The 26,456-nt window shown below is 52.9% G+C and overlaps 1 protein-coding gene, 1 long non-coding RNA gene and 1 pseudogene across 3 annotated transcripts, besides 10 other annotated features; 2 read left to right on the top strand and 1 right to left on the bottom strand.

Annotated features, from left to right (window-relative positions):
- Window positions 317-586: a silencer, noted in NCBI's record as "silent region_822". NCBI's record gives its function as "represses an Ori minimal core promoter by ATAC-STARR-seq in GM12878 lymphoblastoid cells {active_cell/tissue: GM12878}" and the evidence as "EXISTENCE:reporter gene assay evidence [ECO:0000049][PMID:35858748]".
- PTCH2 (patched 2) lies at window positions 532-23,940 on the top strand. 2 transcript variants are annotated; one of them, NM_001166292.2, is made up of 23 exons: window positions 532-924; window positions 1,746-1,938; window positions 11,444-11,633; window positions 11,741-11,810; window positions 11,988-12,079; window positions 12,742-12,937; window positions 13,755-13,876; window positions 14,024-14,171; window positions 14,252-14,383; window positions 14,473-14,628; window positions 14,711-14,803; window positions 15,154-15,279; window positions 15,371-15,489; window positions 15,594-15,942; window positions 16,071-16,383; window positions 16,476-16,618; window positions 16,703-16,883; window positions 17,017-17,297; window positions 17,398-17,535; window positions 20,400-20,542; window positions 20,617-20,716; window positions 21,116-21,183; window positions 23,081-23,940. In NM_001166292.2, exons 1-23 carry the CDS (start codon window positions 853-855, stop codon window positions 23,094-23,096), a joined length of 3,441 nt encoding a protein of 1,146 aa, NP_001159764.1. In that variant the 5' UTR covers window positions 532-852; the 3' UTR covers window positions 23,097-23,940. The 2 variants fall into 2 exon arrangements, with proteins under 2 accessions (NP_001159764.1, NP_003729.3); NM_003738.5 differs by lacking the exon at window positions 23,081-23,940 and having other exon boundaries at window positions 21,116-21,847.
- Window positions 7,371-7,871: an enhancer, noted in NCBI's record as "H3K4me1 hESC enhancer chr1:45301586-45302086 (GRCh37/hg19 assembly coordinates)". NCBI's record gives its function as "activates a minimal SCP1, AML or CMV promoter by ChIP-STARR-seq in naive H9 embryonic stem cells {active_cell/tissue: H9 hESC(naive)}" and the evidence as "EXISTENCE:reporter gene assay evidence [ECO:0000049][PMID:30033119]".
- Window positions 21,403-22,058: an enhancer, noted in NCBI's record as "H3K27ac-H3K4me1 hESC enhancer chr1:45287399-45288054 (GRCh37/hg19 assembly coordinates)". NCBI's record gives its function as "activates a minimal SCP1, AML or CMV promoter by ChIP-STARR-seq in primed H9 embryonic stem cells {active_cell/tissue: H9 hESC(primed)}" and the evidence as "EXISTENCE:reporter gene assay evidence [ECO:0000049][PMID:30033119]".
- LOC107984952 (uncharacterized) lies at window positions 21,791-23,306 on the bottom strand. Its single transcript, XR_001738036.3, has 2 exons — window positions 23,223-23,306; window positions 21,791-22,554 (listed from the first exon to the last, which is right to left on the bottom strand). It is a non-coding gene; the product is annotated as an uncharacterized LOC107984952 (long non-coding RNA).
- Window positions 22,059-22,716: an enhancer, noted in NCBI's record as "H3K27ac hESC enhancer chr1:45286741-45287398 (GRCh37/hg19 assembly coordinates)". NCBI's record gives its function as "activates a minimal SCP1, AML or CMV promoter by ChIP-STARR-seq in primed H9 embryonic stem cells {active_cell/tissue: H9 hESC(primed)}" and the evidence as "EXISTENCE:reporter gene assay evidence [ECO:0000049][PMID:30033119]".
- Window positions 23,373-24,029: an enhancer, noted in NCBI's record as "NANOG-H3K27ac-H3K4me1 hESC enhancer chr1:45285428-45286084 (GRCh37/hg19 assembly coordinates)". NCBI's record gives its function as "activates a minimal SCP1, AML or CMV promoter by ChIP-STARR-seq in primed H9 embryonic stem cells {active_cell/tissue: H9 hESC(primed)}" and the evidence as "EXISTENCE:reporter gene assay evidence [ECO:0000049][PMID:30033119]".
- Window positions 23,373-24,686: a biological region, named in NCBI's record as "NANOG-H3K27ac-H3K4me1 hESC enhancers GRCh37_chr1:45284771-45285427 and GRCh37_chr1:45285428-45286084".
- Window positions 23,406-24,125: a silencer, noted in NCBI's record as "fragment chr1:45285332-45286051 (GRCh37/hg19 assembly coordinates)". NCBI's record gives its function as "represses an EF-1alpha promoter that drives an FKBP-Casp9 reporter gene in an ReSE screen in HepG2 liver carcinoma cells {active_cell/tissue: HepG2}" and the evidence as "EXISTENCE:reporter gene assay evidence [ECO:0000049][PMID:32094911]".
- On the top strand, window positions 23,788-23,902 carry RNU5E-6P (RNA, U5E small nuclear 6, pseudogene; annotated as a pseudogene).
- Window positions 24,030-24,686: an enhancer, noted in NCBI's record as "NANOG-H3K27ac-H3K4me1 hESC enhancer chr1:45284771-45285427 (GRCh37/hg19 assembly coordinates)". NCBI's record gives its function as "activates a minimal SCP1, AML or CMV promoter by ChIP-STARR-seq in primed H9 embryonic stem cells {active_cell/tissue: H9 hESC(primed)}" and the evidence as "EXISTENCE:reporter gene assay evidence [ECO:0000049][PMID:30033119]".
- Window positions 24,036-24,085: an enhancer, noted in NCBI's record as "active region_955". NCBI's record gives its function as "activates an Ori minimal core promoter by ATAC-STARR-seq in GM12878 lymphoblastoid cells {active_cell/tissue: GM12878}" and the evidence as "EXISTENCE:reporter gene assay evidence [ECO:0000049][PMID:35858748]".
- Window positions 24,116-24,215: an enhancer, noted in NCBI's record as "active region_954". NCBI's record gives its function as "activates an Ori minimal core promoter by ATAC-STARR-seq in GM12878 lymphoblastoid cells {active_cell/tissue: GM12878}" and the evidence as "EXISTENCE:reporter gene assay evidence [ECO:0000049][PMID:35858748]".

Raw genomic sequence — 26,456 nt, 5'->3', positions numbered from 1 at the left:
ATATCCTGAGCTCGGGAGTCTGAGACCAACCGGGGCAACATGGCGAAACCCGTTCTCTACCAAAAATACAAAAAGCCGGGCGTGGTGGTGCATGCCTGTGATCCCAGCTACTCGGGAGGCTGAGGTGGGAGGATGGCTTGAGCCTGGAAGGCGGAGCCTGCAAGCCGAGATGGAGCCACTGCACTCCAGCCTGGGTGACAGAGTGAGACCCCGTCTTAAAAAAAAAAAAAAAAGTGTATCCCTAACAGAGCCCGCAAAGGCCCTTTCTCAGCGTAAGCCTCTGGACTTACACTTGGCCGGCGCTGCGCCTCTCCGGGATCCCCCTCCCTCCTCCTCCCTGGGGCCCCGCGGGCGGGAGGGAGGCGCGGGGTGGCCCAGCCTGGGTGGTCTCCCGCCCCGCCCCCTGCGGCGCCGTTACCTAGCAGCGGGCCGGGCCGCGCGGCTAGGGTAATTTGCGGGCCCCTCAGCCAATGGGAGGGCGTCGCCCCGGCCAGCTCCCTTTTCTGGAGCTCCAGCCGCCTCCCGGGGACTGCAGTTGCCACCTCGAGCCCTGCTGTGCGTCTCGGGCCAGCAATTCCGCCTGCGCGCGGGACCCATTCCTCCTCCAGCCGCCGCGGCCCACGGCCCACGGAGCGGGTGAATCCCGGCGCCGCGCCCCGGACCCGCAGCTCCCTGCACTCCTCCCTCCCAGCCGCTTTAACACCCACACCCCACAGTCTCTCCCACGCCCGCGCCTTGGCGGCCCCACTGAATCCCTACGCGGGGCCCAGCGGTACCGGGAGACCGGGCTAGCCTATGGGAGCGCCCAGATAACGCGGGTTGGGGGCGCCCGCGCCCCCCATCCCCGCCAGCATGACTCGATCGCCGCCCCTCAGAGAGCTGCCCCCGAGTTACACACCCCCAGCTCGAACCGCAGCACCCCAGGTGAGTAGAGGGGGAGCTGGAAGAAGGAAGAGAGCGGAGCCAGGTCTGTCACTCGGGCCTCTGCAAGGTTTGTGATGTCTTGAAGTGCCGAGTGTCATTAGATGTCTGAAGGCAAGTGAGAGCCAGCACCGCAAGCAAGTTGTGCGTGTGTGTCGGTGTGTCTGTGCCGGTGTCTCCTCATCGTCTGGCCAGTGAGAATGAATGTCTGTGGGTTCACCTCTGTGTCCACCCGACGACAGGTGTGTGTACATATGTATCCTGCTCTCAGAAAATGGGCCTATGCCGGCCGGGCGCGGTGACTCACGCCTGTAATCCCAACACTGGGAGGCTGAGGCAGGCAGATTACCTGAGGTCAGGAGTTCGAGACCAGCCAGGCCAACATGGGGAAACTCTGTCTCTACTAAAAATAAAAAATTAGCAGGGCGTGGTGGCGGGCGCCTGTAGTCCCAACTACTCGGGAGGCTGAGGCAGGAGAATCTCTTGAACCTGGGAGGCGGAGGTTGCAGTCAGCCGAGATCACACCACTGCACTCCAGCCAGGGCAACAGAGCGAGACTGCGTCTCAAAAAAAAAAAAAAAAAAAAAAAGGAGAGAAAACAAAAAGAAAAGAAAGGAAAATAGGCCTATGCCTTCCTCAGGTGTGTGCTGGGGATGGTGGGTGTTACATCTTCCAAGTCTGGGCCTGTGTCTGTGTTGGTGCTCCCTGTCCCACATCCAGAAATCAAGAAGCGAGGGCTGGGCAGCAGATATACAGGGTGAGAAGGGAAGGATTTCATGCATTGTTGCAGTGATGCCTGGCTGACCCTTCTCTTTCCATCCCAGATCCTAGCTGGGAGCCTGAAGGCTCCACTCTGGCTTCGTGCTTACTTCCAGGGCCTGCTCTTCTCTCTGGGATGCGGGATCCAGAGACATTGTGGCAAAGTGCTCTTTCTGGGACTGTTGGCCTTTGGGGCCCTGGCATTAGGTCTCCGCATGGCCATTATTGAGACAAACTTGGAACAGCTCTGGGTAGAAGGTAAGTTGTGGACACTGGCCATAGCTGCTCAGGTATGGTGAGCCCAAGACAAGAACGGGGTGAGGAGCTGGCTACTGAGCTCTAGCAGGCCTGGCCCTGGGGCTGGAGGGTCACCTGCTGGCCAGAGTCCTACACCTGGGCATCTAGGAACACCGTTCCCTCCCACAACCATAAATGGACATCTGCAGATGTTAGACCTTGTGAATTGGGTGTATAGAATATTTGTCTGTGATTTTGTACGTTAGCATTTATTGCTAACTTTCTATGTGTGTCTTTGACAATGCATCAGGGTTTTACAAAGGCAGCTAAAACAAGATTCATCTTTCAGTAGCAAAGAAAGTAAAATATGTGCTGGAATAACTAAAATACAATACAGAGCATCCTGTGATTATGTGGTATAAGATAGGGTAGGGAGAAATCACTTCTGACCAGCAGAATCAGAAAAGTTAGAACTAGAAGGCTGGGGAAACTGAGTAAATAATCTGGCCAAGCCTGCAGGGAGAGGACTCAGGCACCCAGGCCCATTTAATGGAAAAGCAATACAGAATCCACACTTTGAGGCAATAGCCAGGGTCAGATGGAATCAAATCCTCACTTTCTTAAGGAAGCATAAAAGAAGAATGATTTTCTTGGGGTTTTTTTTTGGGGGGGGTTGTTTTTTTGTTTGTTTGTTTGTTTGAGACAGAGTCTTTCTCTGTCACCCAGGCTGGAGTGCAGTGGTGCGATCCTGGATCACTACAACCTCACTTCCCGGGTTCAAGTGATTCTCGTGCCTCAGCCTCCAAGTAGCTGGGATCACAGGTGCCCACCAACACACCCGGCTAATTTTTGTATTTTTAGTAGAGACAGCCTAGACCTCCAGGGCTCAGGTCCTCCCACCTCAGCCTCCCAAGTAGCTGGGATTACAGGCGTGCGCCACCACACCCAGCTAATTTTTGTTTTGTTTTGTTTTGGAGACAGAATCTCACTCTGTCACCCAGGCTGGAGTGCAGTGGTGTGATCTCAGCTCAGTGCAACCTCCACCTCCCAGGGTCAAGTGATTCTTGTGCCTCAGCCACCTAAGTAGCTGGGACTACAGGCATAAGCCACCACACCCTGATAATTTTTGGGTTTTTGGTTTTTTGTTTTTTTTTTGAGACAGAGTCTCACTCTGTCTCATCCAAGCTGGAGTTTAGTGGCTTGATATCGTCTCACTGCAACCTCTGCCTCCCAGGTTCAAACGATTCTCCTGCCTCAGCCTCCAAAGTAGCTGAGATTACAGGTGGGCGACACCATGCCTGGCTAATTTTTGTATTATTAGTAGAGACCAGGTTTCACCATGTTGGCCAGGCTGGTCTCGAACTCCTGGCTTCAAGTAATCCGCTCACCTCAGCCTCCCAAAGTGCTGGGATTACAGGTGTGAGCCACCGTGCCTGGCCAGAATGATTTCTCATTAATAATTTCAGCAGGCCAGGCACGGTGGCTCACGCCTGTAATCCCAGCACTTTGGGAGGCCGGGGCGGGCGGATCAAAGGTCAGGAGTTCAAGACCAACCTGGCCAACATAATAAAACCCCATCTCTACTAAAAATACAAAAATTAGCCAGGCGTGGTGGCGGGCGCCTGTAGTCCCAGCTACTTGGGAAGCGGAGACAGGAGAATTGCTTGAACCTGGGAGGCGGAGGTTGCAGTGAGCCAAGATCGCCGCACTGCACTCCAGCCTGGGCAGCAGAGGGAGATTCCATCTCAAAAAAAAAAAAAAAAAAATTTCAGCATGACTCTCTTCTTTCCTGAGGGCTGGTTTCATATGGCAGCCCTTTGATAGGAGTCAAACTCCAGTCTGTTTTTCCCTGGGAAATTTGCATTTTGTAGACTCCCTCAGCCCTGGCCCATACCCAAAGGCAGAACCCAGGTTGGAGTCTCACACCCTCGAGTTATTTCAAATACTGGCAAGTCCTAGGATCCACAGCAGATGTTTCTCAGAGCTTGCCTGCCTGTTGAGCTCCCACACGCCATCCCCACCCTACCTACCCCCAGCCCTGCAGACTCTCACATCCATATACACTCTAGGCCAGCCCTGGGGTCCAGAGCAGATGTCTCGCTCTGCCTGCCTGCCCCCAGCCCCAGGACACAGATGTGCATACACGCACATACACATATCCCCACCCACACCACTGCTGCCTGGGTGGTCCCAGATGACTCTTGGATTTCCTGCCCCAACAGAGGCAGTCTCCCTTCCCTTCCTCCCTCTCCATTCCCCACATTCTCCCCATCTAAACACTGCTTGAGCCTCCATGTTTCCTCATCCTCTCTCCTATACTCCAGCATAGGATAGGCTAGACCCCAGCAGTTTTTTGCTGTTGTTTGGGGGAGGGTTTTATAAGAGGATGGTAGCCAATTCCTAGGCTTTTTTCCTTTATTTCAGAATATCACTCTTGTCCTATATTGGCTGGGGGTGAGGTAAAAATCTTTTTTTTTCTTTCTGTTTTTTTTTTTTTTTTTTTTTTGAGAGTAAGTCTTGCTCTGTTGCCCAGGCTGTAGTGCAGTGACGCAATCTCGGCTCACTGCAACCTCCGCCTCCCGGGTTCAAGCGATTCTCCAGAGTAGCTGACACTATAGGCATGCGCCACCATGCCCGGCTAATTTTTTTGTATTTTTAGTAGAAACAGGGTGTCACCATGTTGGCCATGCTGGCCTCGATCTCCTGACCTTGTGATCCGCCCGCCTTGGCCTCCCAAAGTGCTGGGATTACAGGCCTGAGCCAGACGCTAGGCCAATCTTTTTTTTCATAGAGATGGAGTCTCACTGTGAGACCCAGTCTCAAAGAAAAAGTGTAAGAAGGCAGGGTGCAGTGGCTCACGCCTGTAATCCCAGCACTTCGGGAGGCCGAAGTAGGTGGATCTCCTGAGGTCAGGAGTTCAACACCAGCCTGGCTAGCCTGGCTAACTTGGTGAAACTCCATCTCTACTAAAAATACAAAAATTAGCCAAGTGCGGTGGTTCGCGCCTGTAGTCCCAGCTACTCCAGAGGCTGAGGCAGGAGAATCGCTTGAGCCCAGGAGGCAGAGGTTGCAGTGGGCCAAGATCGTGCCACTGCACTCTAGCCTGGCGACAGAGCGAGACTCAAAAAAAAAAAAAAAGAAAAGAAAAAGAAAGATTAAGCCGAGGAAGAAACCGAACATTGGCTATCACAGTGTTCCAGACCAGAGTTCAGGGTCCTCCTTAACTTTGCCTCAGTGAGACTTGGAATTTGACTTGTTTGTCTTTCCTGGCCAACTGTAAAGTCAAGCGTTCAGAGGCAGATTGTTCTCTAAAATGAAAATTACAAAGGCCTGGCACGGTGGCTCACGCCTGTAATCCTAGCACTTTGGGAGGCCGAAGCGGGTGGATCACTTGAGGTCAAGAGTTTGAGACCAGCCTGACCAACATGGTGAAACACTGTCTCTACTCCAAATACAAAATTAGCCAGGCGTGGTGGTGCATGCCTGTAATCCCAGCTACTGGGGAGGCTGTGGCAGGAGAATCGCTTGAACCCGGGAGGCAGAGTTTGCAGTGAGCCGAGATCGCGTCTTTGTACTCCAGCCTGCGCAACAAGAGCTGCCATTCCATGTAGAAGACAGAGGATGGCCTTATATCAGTTGGTAGAATCACCATCCACTTAAATACCTAAAGCTAAAACCTTAGGAGTCAGCCTCAGTTCTTGTTCACCCAATTGTTTACTAAACTATTAAATCCTTGCTTCTTAACCTCTCTCATAACAAACCCATCCTTTCTTTTTTTTTTTTTTTGAGACGGAGTCTTGATGTGTTGCCCACACTGGAGTGCAGAGGTGCGATCTTAGCTCACTGCAAGCTCCATCTCCCGGGTTCACGCCATTCTCCTGCCTCAGCCTTCTGAGTAGCTGGGACTACAGGCACCCGCCACCATGCCCAGCTAATTTTTTTGTATTTTTTTTAGTAGAGACAGGGTTCCACCATGTTAGCCAGGATGGTGTCGATCTCCTGACCTCGTGATCCGCCCGCCTCGGCCTCCCAAAGTGCTGGGATTACAGGCTTGAGCCACCGGGCCCGGCACAAACCCATCCTTTCTACCTTGTGGTCACTGCTCTAGTTGAGGCCTTGTTCTATCTCTGGCAATACACTTCTGATTGTATCATTTAGAATGCTTTTAGGCCAGGCGTGGTGGCTCATGCTTGTAATCCTAGCATTTTGGGAGGCCAAGGTGGGAGGCTTGACTGAGCCCAGGAATTCAAGACCAGCCTGGGCAACATGGCAAAAACCCATCTCTATTTCTAAAAAATTAAAAAATAAAATAAGGCCAGGCACAGTGGCTCACACCTGTAATCCCAGCATTTTGGGAGTCCAGGGTGGGGTGGATCACCTGAGGTCAGGAGTTCGAGACCAGCCTGGCCAACATGGCAAAACCTTGTCTCTACTAAAAATACAAAATTTGGCCACACATGATGGCATGTACCTGTAATCGCAGCTACTCCGGAGGCTGAGGCAGGAGATCACTTGAACCCAGGAGGCGGAGGTTGCAGTGAGCTGAGATCGTGCCATTGCACTCCAGCCTGGGTAACAGCAAGACTCTGTCTCAAAAAAATATATAAATAAATAAATTAAATTAAATAATAGAATGCTTTTAGCCACATGAAAAGAGAAGAAAAGGAAAGGAAGAAGGGAAGAAGGAAGAAAGAAGATTGATTTATTATTCTCTGTAACAGGAAGCCTGGTTAATTCAGTTAATTCGGCAGCCCAAGGACATTAGCAAGGACCCAGTTTCTTTCTATCTTTCTCCTCTGCCATCTTCAACATTCTGGACTTTTGTCCTCAGACTTATCTCAAAGTGGCTGCTGCAGTGTCAGGAAAAAGAAATCATTCTTGTCTTGCATTTCTTTTTGTTTTTGTTTTGTTTTATAGAGACAGGGTCTCACTCTTTCACCCAGGCTGGAGTGCAGTGACACAATCACAGCTCACTGCAGCCTGGAACTCCTAGGCTCACACAGTACTCCTGCCTCTTTCTCTGTAGTATCTGGGACTACAGGCACATGCCACCATGCACAGCTAATTTTTTTGTTTGTTTGTTTGTTTGTTTGTAGAGACGCAGTCCCACTATGTTGCCCAGGCTGATCTTTTTTCCTTTTTTCTTTTTCTTTTCCATCCCCCGAGACAGAGTCTTGCTCTCTAGCCCAGGCTGGAGTGCAGTGGATTGACCTCAGCTCACTGCAACCTCCGCCTCCTGGGTTCAAGCGATTCTTCTGCCTCAGCCTCCTCAGTAGCTGGGATTACAGGTGCGCACCACGCCTGGCTAATTTTTGTATTTTTAGTAAAGACAGGGTTTCACCACGTTGGCCAAGCTAGTCTCAACCTCTTGACTTCGTGATCCGCCCACCTCGGCCTCCCAAAGTGCTGGGATTGCAGGTATGAGCCATCGCGCCTGGCCGGCCCCCAGGCTGGTCTTGAACTCCTGGTCTCAAGCGATCCTCCTGCCTTGGCCTCCTGAAGTGCTGGGGTTACAGGCATGAGCCACCATGCCTGATCTTGCATCTCTTTTAAAAAGTGAGGAAAAATGTATTAGTAGCCTCCCAGCCAACTTCTCATTTGCTCTCTTTGGCAAGAACTATGTAGCATCCTATGCCGAAATCCTTCACTTGGCAAAGGCAATGGAATTACTGATTGGCTTCTTAAACTAATCAAGTTTCACCTCCTGATGCTGGGGAGGAGCCCAGCTGTCCCTAATCACTGGGCCTTTCCGATGACGGCCACGGAAATCAGGGTCTGTTAGAAAGGAGGAAGGTGCTGACAGCCTCACCTTCAAATCTGCCTCCACAGCACCACCCTGTGGCCAATCTCCATCTGGCCAAGTCAGTCCCCTTCTTAGTGCCCTTCCACCGATTTCCACCAGATTCTGTAAAATCAAATATAAACTCCATAGCACACACTCTAGGCCCTCCATAATTGGACTTGATTGCTTCTCCAGCATTGCCGCTGGCTCCTCCCTGGCTCACTCTTAGCAGTACCGAAACACGGAGTCTTTGACAGTTCCCTGCGCACACCTGGTCCAGGACACGTTTCCTGACTTCTTCTCGTGGGCACCTCATCATTCACAACTCACAATAGTGTATTCACAAAAATACATTGTTAGGTGATGAAAACGTCAGATCCCCTCTGCCCAAAATCTACCATGACTCCCATTTCACCTAGAGAAAGCTTAAGTCCCTACAATAGTATATAGGCCTTTACACGTGAAACTTCTGGACCAAAGATTATGGAGCATATATATTGCAATGTTGCTTTCCCCCGAAGAGTGTACCATATTACACTCTCATGGTGGGTTAGAGTGTACTCTTGTAAACCAGCAACGAGTGCCATCAATTTTAAAATTTTTGCTAAATTGTTAGATAGTAACTTATTGATGTTTGTATTTGCATTTACATTATTATTTATAAGGTAGAGTCTTTTTCCATATTGGTTAACCAGTTATATTTTCCCGTTGGTAAAGACATAAAAGTTTGGCCGAGCACAGTGACTCATGCCTGTAATCCCAGCACTTTCAGAGGCTGAGGTGGGAGGATCACTTGAGCCCAGGAGTTCGAGACCAGCCTGGGCAACATAGGGAGACCCTGTCTCTACAAAAAATACAAACATTAACTGGGCATGGTGGCACACACCTGTAGTTCCAGCTACTTGAGAGGATTGCTTGAGCCGGGAGGTCAAGGCTGCGGTGAGCTGTGATTGCACCACTGCACTCCAGCCTGGGTGACAAAGCGAGACCCTGTCTCAAAAAAAAGAGACAAGTTGTTTTTTCATGTATCAATCTTGATATTCTCCCTCCTCTGTCCTATTTCCTCCCCTGTCACCTGCAGTCTTTCCTTCAGTTCCTTCTCATTTTTCTGTCACTTCATTTCTCTACCAGCAACTATTGAAAAATAACTCCACATCTGTACCTACTGTGTGCCATGCAATTTCCTAAGTACTTTGCCTGCATTTATTCTAATTCTACCAAGGTAGTCACTGTTTCTGTTTGACAGATGAGGAGCTGGAGACCCAGAGAGAATAACTAATGAGCCCAAGGCACAGACTAAGCATTATCGACTCTTCCTTTCTGCACCACAATGCATCCCAGTTCACCTGTCCATATCTATCTTTGTCAACTAAGGTTTATCTTTTTCTCTGCCCCATTTTCTCCCCTGAGGAGTCTTTATTCTCTTTGATGCTCCATTTTAAATTATCCGTGTTTCTTTCTCTTGCTTTCTTATCAGATCTCTCTGGGTTCCTTCCTCCTCCCATGCCTCCTTCCTCTCAGCAAACCCACTTACTATGGAGAGCTTATCTCTGTCCTCTTCTTCCCTTCCATGCGGCAGCCTTCGGCCTAATCTTGGTGAAATAAACACTGCAGTACAGGCCTGGCAAAAGAGTGGGGAGTAGGGGAGAGTCGGAGAAGGAGAGGCTGGGCACGGTGGCTCACACCTGTAATCCCAGCACTTTGTGAGGCCGAGGCTGGCAGATCACCTGAGGTCAGCAGTTCAAGATCAGCCTGGCGAACAGGGTGAAACCCCATCTCTACTACTAATAATATAAAAATTAGCCAGGCGTAGTGGCAGGCACCTGTAATCCCAACTACTCGGGAGGCTGAGGCAGGAGAATCGCTTGAACCCGGGAGGCAGAGGTTGCAGTGAGCCGAGATTGCACCATTGCACTCCAGCCTGGGCAATAAGAGCGAAACTCAGTCTCAAAAAAAAAAAAAAGGGAAGGAACTGGCAGTGTGGGGAGCAGGACAGGAAGACTGTTTTCATGAGGTGAAGGCCAGGAATGTGACTTTTGGGGCACGAGGGGACATGTGAGCATATGGGTAAGTATGTGTTGGGGGCTACCAAGGATTTGGGGCTTTTGTGAGTGAGAAGATTACATGGGTTTGAAAAAGAGATTGGAGGGCCAGGTGCAGTGACTCACACCTGTAATCCCAGCACTTTAGGAGGCTGGGGTGGGAGGATCGCTTGAGCCCAGGAATTTAAGACCAACTTGGGGCCGGGTGCGGTGGCTCACTCCTGTAATCCCAGCACTTTGGGAGGCCGTGAAACCCCACCTGTACTAAAAATGCAAAAAATTAGCTGGCCATGGTGGCAGGTGCTTGTAATCCCAGCTACTCGGAAGGCTGAGGCACGAGAATCGCTTGAACCTGGGAGACAGACGTTGCAGTGAGCCACAAAAAAGACCAGCTTGGGCAACATAGTGATGAGACCTCGTCTCTACAAAAAATTTAAAAATTAGCCAGGCCTGGTGGCGGGTGCCTGTGGTCCCAGCCACTTGGGAGGCTGAGGTGGGAGGATCACCTGAGCCCAGGAAGTCGAAGCTATAGTGAGCTATGATCAGGCCACTGCACTCCAGCCTGGGCAATAGAGCAAGACTCTGTCTCAAAAAAAAAAAAAAAAGGAAAAGAGATTGGGAAACATGACGATCTCAGATGGGGCTTGAGTCTCAGAGAAGCAGTACGTTTGGGTCCCAGCAGGCAGCAAAGACTAACAGGAGGAGACCCCCAGACAGGTGGAAACAGCGCAGGGTCTGAGATCAGACCAAATCCGCAAAGCCTCCAGAGGTAGATTTGGCCCTCACTCTTCCCCACATCATAGTTAGGTGATAGCCCCTCACAATGTCCCCACCTCCCCCAGGTCCCAGTTACAGAGCAGGAGCCTGTGGCCAGCATAACGCAGGACTGGAGGGGCGCTAAGATCCAGGACACTATGGCAGGCCTGGCGCCGGGAATCCCTGTGGTCTGGACAGTGAGGGCGGTGAAAAGGATCTGGACACCTCCCTCCCCTTGGCCCACTTTGATTTCACCCCTGCCAGGGTTCGTGAGCTGATTCCATGCACTTTCTGCCTGAGTGGGAGCAGCACACTGAATGACTGTCCCATCCTCCCTCTCCCCCACACCAACACAGGGCCCATTATTATCACCCATTATTATCAGACACTCCTATCCCTGCCCTCTCCTTAGGACACTTTGCAGAAAGGTGTGTGGATATAAATCACTGCCCAGAGCAACCTGAACTAAGAACCAGCCCTAGCCCTACACCTGTTCTTTTAGGAAACCCTCCTAGCAGCAGCCTCCCTATTGGCCCCTATTGGCCCTCCTTGTCCTCCCCACCAGAACAGAGAGGGACTGAGCGAGGGTTCCCTTACCAAGATGCCCCTACAACCCCCACAGCCCACGGCCAGCTCATGCTGATTGTCATTTTTAAGTTTACACCCAAAACCCAGCCAACCTGGTTCATGCTTAAGCCCTAGACCACACAAGAAATCCGCAGAGCCACACAACCGAGGCTTCTCCACTTCCCTGGCAGAGCTCCAGGACCCAGAAGCCTGGGGAGTCGGCCTGGGCCATGACCAGGCCCTCAGGGATAAGGCAGGGACTCCTCTCTGCCGCACCTCTCCCACTTGTCTGGGGAGGCCTCAGAGTTAGAAGCCCCCTTCCCAAGTTCTGACCCGCCTAGGCCCTTTCCCCCCCAGCTTTCTCTGTTTGCTCTGGCAGTGGGCAGCCGGGTGAGCCAGGAGCTGCATTACACCAAGGAGAAGCTGGGGGAGGAGGCTGCATACACCTCTCAGATGCTGATACAGACCGCACGCCAGGAGGGAGAGAACATCCTCACACCCGAAGCACTTGGCCTCCACCTCCAGGCAGCCCTCACTGCCAGTAAAGTCCAAGTATCACTCTATGGGAAGTGAGTCTGGCTGAGCCCCTGAGCAGCTGGGGGCGAGGCGTGCTGTGGGGGTTCTGGAGTGGGAATCCCCTTCTTCTGCTGATCTCCTATGCCCCTGGCTATTGCAGGTCCTGGGATTTGAACAAAATCTGCTACAAGTCAGGAGTTCCCCTTATTGAAAATGGAATGATTGAGCGGGTAAGTGTCCTGAGAGGGAGTAGAGGCAGAACTTTTTCTGTAGCGTGGGAGGACTCAGAGACCGAGCAAGCCCCACAGCCTGCAATCTGCCCCCTTAAAACTAAGGAGGGGGATTGCAGAGGGCATCCTACAAAGGTTGTGGGGCAGGACTGACGTGGCCCGGGGTATCCCTGGCAGATGATTGAGAAGCTGTTTCCGTGCGTGATCCTCACCCCCCTCGACTGCTTCTGGGAGGGAGCCAAACTCCAAGGGGGCTCCGCCTACCTGCCGTGAGTGCCACTCCTGGGGCCCTGCTTCATCTCCCGCTGGGGACTCTCCCAGCAGAAAGGAGGGGTCTGGGGAATGAGGATGATCAAAACCTTACCAAGGTCCTAATTACCTCCCAGGCCAGGAACAGAGAGCATGGGCTTCCCCAAGGCTCTCTCCACATCCTCCTTCTCTTTCCCTCTCAAGGAAGGAAGACCTGACTTATTTACACAAAACTAAACACAAAGATCTGTAAGATCTGAGCAAAGGAGAAAAAGATCCCCACAAAGAGGCTTTGCTGGGGGAAATTACCTAGGTGTTTGCTAAGCCATTGCCCAGGCCAGAAAGAAAACCTGCTACAGGCATGTGCCTGCTGGTTGTATATTAGAACCAAGCACACAGCTTGGTAAGGAACTCAGTGGGGCCTTTCTGGGCCCTTTCTATGTATTAGGTAACCCTGCCCTGATATTCGTCTCAGCCCCTTGTACTCTTCTACAGCTCACTGTAGCACCCTGGTGGGCCCATGCAGCCTGGCAGTTCTGAGAAGCTGAGGCTTGCACACCCTCCATATGGAAGGACAAATCGGCAGATAAGAGGAGGGTGGGGTACAGCATGGCGCCCCAGCAGCAGTTTGGAGCCTGGGTTTTCGTCCCTGACCCTCACCAACTATAGGCTTTTCCCTCAGCGGCCGCCCGGATATCCAGTGGACCAACCTGGATCCAGAGCAGCTGCTGGAGGAGCTGGGTCCCTTTGCCTCCCTTGAGGGCTTCCGGGAGCTGCTAGACAAGGCACAGGTGGGCCAGGCCTACGTGGGGCGGCCCTGTCTGCACCCTGATGACCTCCACTGCCCACCTAGTGCCCCCAACCATCACAGCAGGCAGGTGGGTTCCAACCAGGTCTGCCAGGGAAAGGCTGTTTTCCTTCCCTTTCCCTTCCTCATACTCCTGTGTTCTGGGGGAGCTGACTGCTCTGTGCCCTGACCCCCCACTTCCTGGCCATTATTACCCTGCTCCCACAGTGCCAGGCCCCCAATGTTCCATTCCCATTCAGTTATCCTACGGAGCCCTCAAGTGGTATATATGAATCCCTTTTTCCTTTTCTAAGCCTAGATAAGGCTGGACTTCTTTTTTTTTTTTTTTTTGAGTCTCACTCTGTCACCCAGGCTGGAGTGCAGTAGTTCGATCTTGGCTCACTGCAACCTCGGCTCAAGCAATTCTCCTGCCTTAGCCTCCTGAGTAGCTGGGATTACAGGTGCCCACCACCATGCCCGGCTAATTTTTATTAGCCTCCCAAAGTGCTGGGATTACAGGCGTGAGCCACTGCGCCTGGCCAAGGCTGGACTTTTTATCAAAATAGACTAATACAGGGAAACTAAGAACACAGCAGGTAAGCATGAATATCATACCTGGTTTCCCAGGTTTCTTTGTGGCCCTGCAAATGTGGTACTTTTTTCAGAATCCGCCAGTTACACCAGCTCCTCCCAGAAGCCCTTCCAGGCCTCTGCTTCCCCTTGGGGCTTCCTGTCTGCGGGATACTAGCTGTTCACTCCTGCAGAGCAGTCAAGAGGCTCAGAATAGTTACCTACACTCCAGCCCTACTGAGCTTCATGGCAGCGTGGTTCCTGGAGGTGGAAGCCCAGGGACACTCAGTTATCCACGGCCAGGGCCTTGAGCATTAACCCCTCCTGTTCCCCTCCAGGCTCCCAATGTGGCTCACGAGCTGAGTGGGGGCTGCCATGGCTTCTCCCACAAATTCATGCACTGGCAGGAGGAATTGCTGCTGGGAGGCATGGCCAGAGACCCCCAAGGAGAGCTGCTGAGGTAGGGTCTCCTCTGGGAGTTGGTGAGGGGACTCTGTTCATGAGAACCCATACTGTAATGCCAGGCAGCTCTGGCAAAAGGCCCTTCACATCCCTCACCAGGTGTTTGGGCCAGCTCTGACCCCTGGTTCTCCCACACCCCCACCAGGGCAGAGGCCCTGCAGAGCACCTTCTTGCTGATGAGTCCCCGCCAGCTGTACGAGCATTTCCGGGGTGACTATCAGACACATGACATTGGCTGGAGTGAGGAGCAGGCCAGCACAGTGCTACAAGCCTGGCAGCGGCGCTTTGTGCAGGTCGGTATGGACAAGGACAAGGGGGGTGCCCTGAGGCCATTCCCTCCTCCTGCCCCCTCCTATCCACCCTGTTTCTCCAGCTGGCCCAGGAGGCCCTGCCTGAGAACGCTTCCCAGCAGATCCATGCCTTCTCCTCCACCACCCTGGATGACATCCTGCATGCGTTCTCTGAAGTCAGTGCTGCCCGTGTGGTGGGAGGCTATCTGCTCATGGTGGGTCTTGCACCTGGCACCTTGCCCCCACCCCACCTCCAACCAGTGCCCACCCTGGGAGCCCCTGAGACTGCCCTTTCCCCCCACAGCTGGCCTATGCCTGTGTGACCATGCTGCGGTGGGACTGCGCCCAGTCCCAGGGTTCCGTGGGCCTTGCCGGGGTACTGCTGGTGGCCCTGGCGGTGGCCTCAGGCCTTGGGCTCTGTGCCCTGCTCGGCATCACCTTCAATGCTGCCACTACCCAGGTACGCCAGGACTGCAGGGCAGACTCAGTGCCAGTCACCAGGCTTCACGGGTCCTCAGCTGCCCGCTCCTCTGCCCCTCCAGGTGCTGCCCTTCTTGGCTCTGGGAATCGGCGTGGATGACGTATTCCTGCTGGCGCATGCCTTCACAGAGGCTCTGCCTGGCACCCCTCTCCAGGTGGGGCCTTGTCCCCCAGGGCTCATCTGAGGCAGCTCAGCTTACTGGTTAAGAGCCTCTTGGTTCAAGTGACCTTGGGCTGCTAATGAACCTCGGTGCCTCTTGTCCCCATCTGTAAACAGGGGAAATAATAGTGCTGTGTCCTAAGGGTTATTGTTTGGATCAGTGAGGTAACTCAAGTTGAATGCTTAGAACAGCCCATCATACGTACATGGTACCCAATAAATGCTAGCCACTGTGTTATGACTGCCCCACCTCTGCACCCCAAGTTCCTGAGCCTCCCCTTCACTCCACTTTGACACGGCCCCTCCCTTGTGACCTGAGGGCAGGTCCCCACTCTGTCCTGGCAGGAGCGCATGGGCGAGTGTCTGCAGCGCACGGGCACCAGTGTCGTACTCACATCCATCAACAACATGGCCGCCTTCCTCATGGCTGCCCTCGTTCCCATCCCTGCGCTGCGAGCCTTCTCCCTACAGGTGAGGCCTCTCACACGGGGCAGCTCAGGGTGGGTGTGGGGCTGAGGCCAAGCTTCATCCAGCCTTCATTCCCCTCCTGTCCGTCCCCCAGGCGGCCATAGTGGTTGGCTGCACCTTTGTAGCCGTGATGCTTGTCTTCCCAGCCATCCTCAGCCTGGACCTACGGCGGCGCCACTGCCAGCGCCTTGATGTGCTCTGCTGCTTCTCCAGGTACTGCCTGCGCCCCAGCCCCTTCCTCCCGTGACCCACGCCAGCCTGTCCCCTCACCAGCATTTCAAGGCACAGACCTGTCATCCACTCTCTACCTCTTCCAGTCCCTGCTCTGCTCAGGTGATTCAGATCCTGCCCCAGGAGCTGGGGGACGGGACAGTACCAGTGGGCATTGCCCACCTCACTGCCACAGTTCAAGCCTTTACCCACTGTGAAGCCAGCAGCCAGCATGTGGTCACCATCCTGCCTCCCCAAGCCCACCTGGTGCCCCCACCTTCTGACCCACTGGGCTCTGAGCTCTTCAGCCCTGGAGGGTCCACACGGGACCTTCTAGGCCAGGAGGAGGAGACAAGGCAGAAGGCAGCCTGCAAGTCCCTGCCCTGTGCCCGCTGGAATCTTGCCCATTTCGCCCGCTATCAGTTTGCCCCGTTGCTGCTCCAGTCACATGCTAAGGTAAGACTGGGCAGAGCAGGGCAGAGACTTAGCATCTCTGGGCCCAGAAGGGCAGAGAGGGCTTAGTCCACTGCCTGAGGGGCTGGGGGCAGCCCTGGGGTCTCCAGCTTAGTTGCTACATCCCGCAGGCCATCGTGCTGGTGCTCTTTGGTGCTCTTCTGGGCCTGAGCCTCTACGGAGCCACCTTGGTGCAAGACGGCCTGGCCCTGACGGATGTGGTGCCTCGGGGCACCAAGGAGCATGCCTTCCTGAGCGCCCAGCTCAGGTACTTCTCCCTGTACGAGGTGGCCCTGGTGACCCAGGGTGGCTTTGACTACGCCCACTCCCAACGCGCCCTCTTTGATCTGCACCAGCGCTTCAGTTCCCTCAAGGCGGTGCTGCCCCCACCGGCCACCCAGGCACCCCGCACCTGGCTGCACTATTACCGCAACTGGCTACAGGGTGAGAGGCGAGGAGACGGGCAGGGAGGGGTGCTGCAGGGAGAAACGCCCTGGGGCCACCAGCTAATAGAACCCTATCCTGGTCTCCCCCAGGAATCCAGGCTGCCTTTGACCAGGACTGGGCTTCTGGGCGCATCACCCGCCACTCGTACCGCAATGGCTCTGAGGATGGGGCCCTGGCCTACAAGCTGCTCATCCAGACTGGAGACGCCCAGGAGCCTCTGGATTTCAGCCAGGTTGGGAGAGGGCTGGAGGGGTCCACTAGTACAGGGGCTGCAGGCCTCCTGGGCCCAGGCCTTCAGCCCTCTCTGCCTCTGCAGCTGACCACAAGGAAGCTGGTGGACAGAGAGGGACTGATTCCACCCGAGCTCTTCTACATGGGGCTGACCGTGTGGGTGAGCAGTGACCCCCTGGGTCTGGCAGCCTCACAGGCCAACTTCTACCCCCCACCTCCTGAATGGCTGCACGACAAATACGACACCACGGGGGAGAACCTTCGCAGTGAGTCTTGGGGGGAGCTCGGCAAGAGCCTCAGCCTCGCCCACACAAGCCCTGAGCCTGAGGCCCTGCCCACTCTGCCCCGTGCTCACCGCCCTGTCCCTCTCCCTCTTCTCCCTTCCCCTCCCCTCCACAGTCCCGCCAGCTCAGCCCTTGGAGTTTGCCCAGTTCCCCTTCCTGCTGCGTGGCCTCCAGAAGACTGCAGACTTTGTGGAGGCCATCGAGGGGGCCCGGGCAGCATGCGCAGAGGCCGGCCAGGCTGGGGTGCACGCCTACCCCAGCGGCTCCCCCTTCCTCTTCTGGGAACAGTATCTGGGCCTGCGGCGCTGCTTCCTGCTGGCCGTCTGCATCCTGCTGGTGTGCACTTTCCTCGTCTGTGCTCTGCTGCTCCTCAACCCCTGGACGGCTGGCCTCATAGTGAGTGCTTGCAGGAGTGGGGACAGAGACACCCCACCCTTCCCTGCCCAGCCTGTCATCCCTCCTGCCAGGAGCCCTCTGTGAGCCCTGTCTCCCTCAGGTGCTGGTCCTGGCGATGATGACAGTGGAACTCTTTGGTATCATGGGTTTCCTGGGCATCAAGCTGAGTGCCATCCCCGTGGTGATCCTTGTGGCCTCTGTAGGCATTGGCGTTGAGTTCACAGTCCACGTGGCTCTGGTGAGCACGGGCACCCCGGGGAGGGACCAATCAGCTGATTCAGTATTCAACACATATTGTTCAAGCCCCTACTATGTGCTAGGTACTATTTAAGAATTTGGGCTGGGTGGACGTGGTAGCTCATTCCTGTAATCCCAGCACTTTGGGAGGCCGAGGCAGGTGGATCACCTGAGGTCAGGAGTTCGAAACCAGCCTGGCCAACATGGTGAAACCCTGTCTTTACTAAAAATACAAAAAATTAGCCAGGCGTGGTGGCACATGCCAGTAATCCCAGCTACTTTGGAGGCTGAGGCAGAATTGCTTGAACCTGGGAGGCGAAGGTTGCAGTGAGCTGAGATCGTGCCATTGCACTCCAGCCTGGGCAACAAGAGTGAAACTCTCCGTCTCAAAAAAAAAAAAAAAAAAGAATTTGGGCTGGGCACAGTGGCTCATGCCTGTAATTGGGATGATGCTGGGGCATTTTGGGAGGCCAAGGCAGGCGGATCCCCTGAAGTCAGGAGTTCAAGACCAGCCTGGCCAACATTGCAAAACCCCGTCTCTACTGAAAATACAAAAATTAGCTGGGCGTGGTGGCTCATGCCTGTAATCCCAGCTACTCAGGAGGCTGAGGCAGGAGAATTACTTGAACCCAGGAGGCGGAGGTTACAGTGAGCTGAGATCACATCACTGTACTCCAGCCTGGGCAAAAGAGCAAGATTCAATCTCAAAAAAGAATTTGGAAAATAAAAATAAAAAAGAATACGGGATATAATAGCAATACAGTTTTTTACCTCCAAGGAACTTATATTCTAGGGATAGAGATAGACAATAAGGGCTGGGTGAGGTGGCTTACGCCTGTAATCCCAGCACTTTGGGAAGCCGAGGTGGGCACATCACTTGAGGTCAGGAGTTCAAGACCAGCCTGGCCGACATGGTGAAACCCCATCTCTACTAAAAATATGAAAATTAGCTGGGTGTGGGGGTGCATGCCTGTAATCCCAGCTACTTGGAAGGCTGAGGCAGGAGAATCACTTGAACCCGGGAGGGTGGAGGTTGCCATGAGCCGAGACCATGCCACTGCACTCCAGCCTGGGAGACCGAGCAAAACTCCATCTCAAAAAAAGAAAAAAAAGAAGAGAGAGATAGACAGTAAATAAGTAGACAAATAAATAAGCAGCCATTTCAGTAGAGAGGAGTAGACAAGATCCTGTCTGGAATGTGTTAAAGACAGAATGGAAGATGAGAAAATGGGAATCAATGATTCTTTTGAATGGTTTTACTGTGAACCATTGTGGGATGGGCCAGGCATGGTGACTCACACCTGTAATCCCAGCACTTTGGGAGGCTAAAGCTGGTGGATTGCTTGAGCCAGGAGTTCAAGACCAGCCTGGGCAACATGGTGAAACCCCGTCTCTAATAAAAATACAAAAATTAGCCAGGCGTAGTGGCAGGTGCCTGTAATCCCAGCTACTCAGGATGCTGAGGCAGGAGAATTGCTTGAACCTGGGAGGCAGAGGCTGCAGTAAGCCAAGATTGCGCCACTGCACTCCAACCTGGGCAACAGAGCAAGACTCCGTCTCAAAGAAAAAAAATTTTTTTTAAATAATTAGCTGGGCATGGTGGTGCGTGCCTGTAGTCTCAGCCACTCAGGAGGTTGAGGCGGGAGGATCACTTGAACCTCAGAGTTTGAGGCTGCAGTGAGCCATGATTACACCACTGCACTGCAGCCTGGGCAACACAGTAAGATCCTGTCTCAAAAAAAAAAAAAAATGGGATGGTAGCGGGATGGCAATGTGGGCTTAATGGAGGGGTTCTACAAAGATACCAGAGATACAGAGATGCCAGAACCAAGGAGGGCCTCGCCCAGGGCTGCATATTCTCTGGCAGAGGAAAGGGGGGACCCACAGACCAGCCAGACTCCACAAACAGCTCCCTTCCTTTCCCCCCACCAAATATCTCTATTATTATTCTGATTATAAAAACAATATATGATCCTTGAAAACAAACAAAGCCAGCATGCAGAAAGGTACAAAAGAAGAATTAGAAATCCTCTGAAACGCTACTCTGAGAAGTAACTGTTATCACTTTGATGTCCCTCTTCTAGATGGACTAGTGGTTGGCCAACTTCTTCTATTTATAGGACCAAATAATAACTATTTCAGGCTTGGTAGGCCATAGAGTCTCTGCTGCAACTCTGCCATCAAAGCACAAAATTGTCTAGACAATACATTAACCAATGGGTATGGCTGTTTCAACAAAATTTCATTTACAAAACAAGTGACAGGCTGTAGTTTGCCCAACCTATGTTTGTTTGTTTGTTTGTTTGTTTGTTTGAAACAGGGTCTCACTCTGTCGCCCAGGCTGGAGTGTAGCAGTGCAATCTCGGTTCACTGCAACCTCCACCTCCTGGGCCAAGCGATCCTCCCACCTCAGCCTCCCAAGTAGCTGAGACTACAGGCACACACAACCACACCCAGCTAATTTTTGTATTTGTTATAGAGACAGGGTTTTGCCATGTTTCCCAGGCTGGTCTGGAACTCCCAACCTCAGGTGATCCACCCACCTCAGCCTCCCAAAGTGCTGGGATTACAGGCATGAGCCACCGTGCCCGGGCTTGTTTGTTTTAAGAGACAGGGTCTCACTCTGTCACCCAGGCTGTACCCTATTTTCTACGTGTCTCTGTGTCTAAGCTCACCAAACCCATCCATACAGTGTTACCTAAAAGGACTCACGCATGCTCCCTGTACAGTTCCCATGAACTTAGTTCACCCAGCCTTTGGTGGGCCAAGGTATCGTTGAGCTCTGAAGACAGATACAGCTCGGGACATGGCTGAGCTGGCCATGACTGGCAGAGGAGCAGCTCCAGGACCACTCTGTTTTCCTAGGGCTTCCTGACCACCCAGGGCAGCCGGAACCTGCGGGCCGCCCATGCCCTTGAGCACACATTTGCCCCCGTGACCGATGGGGCCATCTCCACATTGCTGGGTCTGCTCATGCTTGCTGGTTCCCACTTTGACTTCATTGTAAGGTAGGGAGGGCTCGGGGCAGGGAGGCAGGGCTCAGGACAGGCCTGGGCTGACTCCCCCCACACCCTACCCCTAGGTACTTCTTTGCGGCGCTGACAGTGCTCACGCTCCTGGGCCTCCTCCATGGACTCGTGCTGCTGCCTGTGCTGCTGTCCATCCTGGGCCCGCCGCCAGAGGTGACCACACCCTCGGCACCATCCCTCTACTCCCAGCCCAAGGGACGGGGTAGGGAGAGGCAAGGGAAGGGACAGAGCCCTGTGGCCCACAGACAGGTACCTCCCCAACAGGTGCCACCAGCTGAAGGTGGCAGCCTCCTCCTTTCCCCAGACACCATGTTCCTGCCCCTCAGCCCTCCTGGCTTCTTCATGGGACCCACCTTAGACTTTTAGGATCCAGAACAAGGTGCAGGGTTTGCCCCAGGCCTCAACATCCTGTCGCCTGCCAGCTCTCATATCCTGCTGGAGACCAACAAGGGCCCCAGCTTCCCAACAGTCATGGTAATCCCCAGCGAGATGCTAAAGGGGACGGGAGCCCCAGGGGCCCGTGGGCTTACTGGGGCTGGTGTCTCCCCACAGGTGATACAGATGTACAAGGAAAGCCCAGAGATCCTGAGTCCACCAGCTCCACAGGGAGGCGGGCTTAGGTGGGGGGCATCCTCCTCCCTGCCCCAGAGCTTTGCCAGAGTGACTACCTCCATGACCGTGGCCATCCACCCACCCCCCCTGCCTGGTGCCTACATCCATCCAGCCCCTGATGAGCCCCCTTGGTCCCCTGCTGCCACTAGCTCTGGCAACCTCAGTTCCAGGGGACCAGGTCCAGCCACTGGGTGAAAGAGCAGCTGAAGCACAGAGACCATGTGTGGGGCGTGTGGGGTCACTGGGAAGCACTGGGTCTGGTGTTAGACGCAGGATGGACCCCTGGAGGGCCCTGCTGCTGCTGCATCCCCTCTCCCGACCCAGCTGTCATGGGCCTCCCTGATATCCATACAGAACAGCCACCGATTTGCACATCCAGGCCTGTGTGAGCCTGTATCTGTGTCACTTGAGAGTGAAAGCTGGCACTTGGGGCTGCAGTGCAGCCCTGTCCCCCTTCCCACCCCACACCACTGCCTGCCCAGCTGACCAAGCCTGAGGGACCCTCCAGCACCCTTCCGTCTGGTGACTCCTGGGCAGGCTCTCCATATCCCTGCCCACCTCCTACCACATCCATTATTTATATGAAAATGTCTATTTTTGTAGTATACATACATGTTAGCTATGATGAAAGTTTTATTTTTTAAAGAATGAAATATATTCTATGTGAACTAATCTCAGATGACTTCAGTGCTTTTTTTTGGACAGAGTGGGGAGTTTGCAAGTGAACATTAGCTATTGGAAGGAGCTTCTCTGGTGCCAGGACCTGAGGTATTAGCTTCTCTAGTTCTGGGTGGAAAAGACCCCAGATTCTGGATTTTTGTCATATACTTGGTAACATCATCTGGATTAAGTGCTTACTATACAAAACGATAACAAATTTTGTTGGTGTGAAATCCTACTGGGTTCAATCTGGAGACCGAGAGCAGAAAAAAAAGAACCCCACTGTGTGGCTTTCAGAGCCACCATATTCCAGCCTGCCCGTCTCTCCAGACTCACCTCCACCTACCTGCTTCACCCGCACGGGAAACGGCAAGGCAGAGGGGCAAAGCCATGCAGCAGGTGGAAGGCGAGGTGGAGGCAGATCAGGAAAGCAGCCAGTTGAAGCAGAGAGAGGTCAACAGGGTCTGGGGAGCTTCTCAGGAGGTTTGTGGACCCAGGGAAAGGAGCCAGGTTCCAGAGCAACCTCCAAGGCAAAGGCCTCTGTAAGTTGGTTGTCCTGACAGCCGAGAGGTGTCTTTGGCCAGTCAGCCAGTGGATCAGTTGCGGGAACTGCTCAGAAACTGAGGTGCTAGCAGTTAGTGAGGACACAGCGTAAGTTGTTTGTTCTGTGAAAGTTGAACAGCTCCACTAAGCAGAGGCCTTGAAGAGTGGCCACAGCCCTGGAATAGAGCACAGAGCCTCACCTAGAGGCGTGGGGAGGTTTGCAACTGCCCCTTCCCAGCCATAGCTTAGGACCCATAGTCTAGTTCACATAGACCCTGGGCTCCAACCACCCACTCACCAGGAATGATCCCACCCCAGGAACAATGCGTTCTCACATCCCACCCCACCTGGACAAAGGCCAGGAAATCATGTTCTGACCAAAAGATACAACAACAAAAACAACAACAACAAAAAACGCCTATTGCAATTGAATCCACGCTAAAATGCCTAAAAAGCTCAAGAGAAGCGGGTAGTTGGCAGAGAACCTAGAGTAGGGGGTGCAACCAGCAGGCCCAAGGGAGGGAGGCTGCATTTGGGTCCAGCAGTGTTTGGGTCACCAAGAAGGGCCTTCTAGGTGGAGCAGAGAGAGCTCACCAGGCCAGAATAGTGCAAAGGGGGTCAGCCCTCAGTGCCACTTACCAGCGGAGTAACCCTGGGCAAGTTAGCCAGCCTCACTAAGCCTCCTCATCTTCATCTTTCCAGGCCCGAGGAGATCTAGCCTCTGCCTCCCACCCCAGCACCCCCTCATCAGACACACGGAGCGCCACTGTCTGGACAGGCTGAATTGGTCTTCGGGTCCCTAATTTCTCATACGCCATTCCCTCTGCCTAGAACACTTTCTCACCTCCCCTTGATGTGACCCCATATCACCCTTCGAGGTGAATTGGATCGGATGCCATCTCCTCCAGGAGGGGTGGGGTCGTGCCTCCTGTGAGGTCCCAGTGCCCCTGAGTGTCTGTGCCCGTCTGTTTCCCCGTCCCTCTCTCTAAGCCCGGAGGCTTACTGCGGGTAAGGACGGCGGGACAGGACCTTAACCCCTGGGACGAACACCAGCTCCGCAAAGGACTCCGCACCCGGCGCCGCCCACGGGGTGCGGGTCCCAGGAGGACCAGCAGAGAGGAGCATAGGAGAGCAAAGGAGATCAGTGACCCATGGCTTCCCCGGTGGCGCGGAACAGCCCGGAGCCGCCTGTGATTTGCATACCCATGGTGCACCACGAAAAGATACCCTCAAGATGCTTGCACTCCCTCTGTGCGCGCATTTCTGCACTGTTTTAGAGCATGATGCCTCTTACACGCATCTGTGTGCATAAACTACATATAGGGAGTGCGTACCACGCAGGCATCCAACAACCATAAGTGTGTTAAGTGTTAGTTCTCCCTGCGAGGTTCGAAGCGGAAGTCACGAATATACTCGGGTTTCTCTTCAAAGCGCATAAATCTTTCGCCTTTTACTAAAGATTTCCGTGGAGAGAAAGTTGTGAGTTTTTATTCAATTTTTTGAGGCCTCTTATTTCCTGAGGCTACATTTTTAAGTATTAAAAGTTAGGCAACTACAACCAAGGAACTTGGTCATTTGTTATTTGTACCAAATGTTCACAAACTTATTCGGGCGTGGTGGTGCCTGTTTGCAATCCCACCTATTGGAGAAGCTGGGGCGGGAGAGTCTCTTGACTCTAGAAGACGGAGGTTGTAGTGATCCGAGATCGCGCCACTGCCCTCTAGTCAGAGTGGCAGAGACTCCTGGGGCGGGAGAGTCTCTTGACTCTAGAAGACGGAGGTTGTAGTGATCCGAGATCGCGCCACTGCCCTCTAGTCAGAGTGACAGAGATTCAGTGTAAAACAAAAAAAAATCAGAAGTTTGCGTGACACCTTGTTTTGAGCTACATTTGGGGTTTATTGGCTTCTGCAGTGTGCAGTAAGACTGGCTTCTATTGTTTATTTCTTGCGTTTTTGTTGCATTTCGTTGCAGATTTAAGAGATAAACAGTGGAAGGCGCTTTCAAGTCGTCCGGTCATTAATTAAGCCTTATTGTGGCTAGAGGTTCAGGGGCGGTATATCGCGCCAACCAAACTCCTTGTTCTATTCCCAGAGACAGTAGCTGTTAGCGGTTTGGTGTGGCTCTTCCAGACTGATTTTTTTTTCCCAACTCGATTGCGAATCCAAACACAGTTTATGTGGTGAAGAGACAAGGTTCCTTCTCCTATGGAGCTTTTTTCTTTTGAGATGGAGTCTCACTTTGTCACCCAGGCTGGAGTGCAGTGGCTCAATCTCGGCTCACTACAACCTCCGCCTCCCGGGTTCAAGCGATTCTCCTGCCTCAGCCTGCGGAGTACCTGGGACTACAGGCGCCCGCCACCACACCCGACTAATTTTTGTATTTTTAGTAGAGACGGGGTTTCACCGTGTTGGTGAGGATGGTCTCGATCTCCTGACCTCGTGATCCGCCTGCCTCAGCCTCCCAAAGTGCTGGGATTACAGGTGTGAGCCACCACACCTGGCCCTTTTCTTTCTTTCTTTCTTTTTTTTGTTTTTTGTTTGTTTGTTTGTTTGTTTGTTTGTTTTTGAGAGGGAGTTTCGCTCTTGTTGCCCAGGCTGGAGTGCAGTGGCGCGATCTCGGCTCACTGCAACCTCCACCTCCCGGGTTCAAGCGATTCTCCTCCTCAGCATCTGGGATTACAGGCGCACCACCACGCCCGGCTAATTTTTGTGTTTTTAGTAGAGACAGAGTTTCACCATGTTGGCCAGGCTGGTCTCAAACTCCTGACCCCAGGTAATCCGCCTGCCTCGGCCTTCCAAAGTGTTGGGATTACAGGCAAAAGCCAACGTGCCCGGCCCCTATGGAGCTTTTCTAATAGAACCAAACACAAAACAAATTGAATAAATAATATAAATCCCAGATAAATAATATCTCAGTGAGAAGTGCCCTGTAGAAAGAGCATTTTGATAGAATGGTCTACCTCCTTCCTATTCCCTCTCCATAAGGGAGCTCACCTACTTCCATGGCTTTAAGTAAATGCCATCTGATAGCTAGTGACCCCCCAGTTTACAGCCATCAGCTAGTCCTGTTGACTCCCTTCCATCAGCTGGTCCTGTTGATACCTTCAAAGCGTACGCTTCATCCAACCACATTTTACCACCTCCACTGCTGCCATCCTGGTCCAAGATCTCTTGCTGGATAATTGCAATAGCCCCTAACTGTTCTCCCTAGACCACTCTTCTACCTCGCTCTTGCCCTTCTCAATTCCAGTCCTCCACATAACGGCCAAATTCTTTTTTTTTTTTTTCTGAGAGGGTCTTCCTGGAGTGCAGTGGCTGGAGTGCAGTGGCACAATCTCAGGCTGGAGTGCAGTGGCGCAATCTGAGTTCACTGCAACCTCCACCTCCCAGATCCAAGCAATTCTCCCACCTCAGCCTCCCAAGTAGCTGGGACTGCAGGCGCGTGCCACCACACTGGCTAATTTTTGTATTTTTTGTAGAGACGGGATTTCGCCATGTTGCCCGAACTGGTATCAAACTCCCAGATTCAAGTGATTCGCCCACCTCACCCTCCCAAAGTGCTGGGATTACAGGCAGGAACCACCATGCCCAGCCCAAATTATTCTTTTAAACTAAATCTGATCACACATCACTGTCCTGCACAAAACCCTCCAATGCCTTCCCCCATGACACATAGCTCCCTGCAGATCTCTTGTCAAATGTTATCTCATCAGAGGTCTACAATCAGTGCCCTGTACGAAATAGTCCCACTCCCACCACATAGCTATCTCTTCAACCTGTTTTGCTTTTCCTCATAGCACAAACTACTCCCTGAATAGAGCATACATTTCTTTACTTGTTTACTGCATGTTTCTCCTCTTAGAATGTTAGCTCCATGAGGCAAAGACTTGACTTGACTTGTTGTCTGATGTACTTATTCCATGACCGTAAATCAATGTCTAGTGTGTGAGCACTCAATGAATAGTTGTGGAACAAATGAATGAATATGTTTTCTAAACACATATACAGAATTTAATCTGTCCCACTACAATTCTAAGTATTTTATGAAATTATTTTCATCTTCCTAAAAACTCTACTAA

This window comes from Homo sapiens, chromosome 1, assembly GCF_000001405.40.
Source record: "Homo sapiens chromosome 1, GRCh38.p14 Primary Assembly".
Taxonomy (NCBI): domain Eukaryota; kingdom Metazoa; phylum Chordata; class Mammalia; order Primates; family Hominidae; genus Homo; species Homo sapiens.
This window is presented reverse-complemented; position numbering and strand designations above follow the sequence as displayed.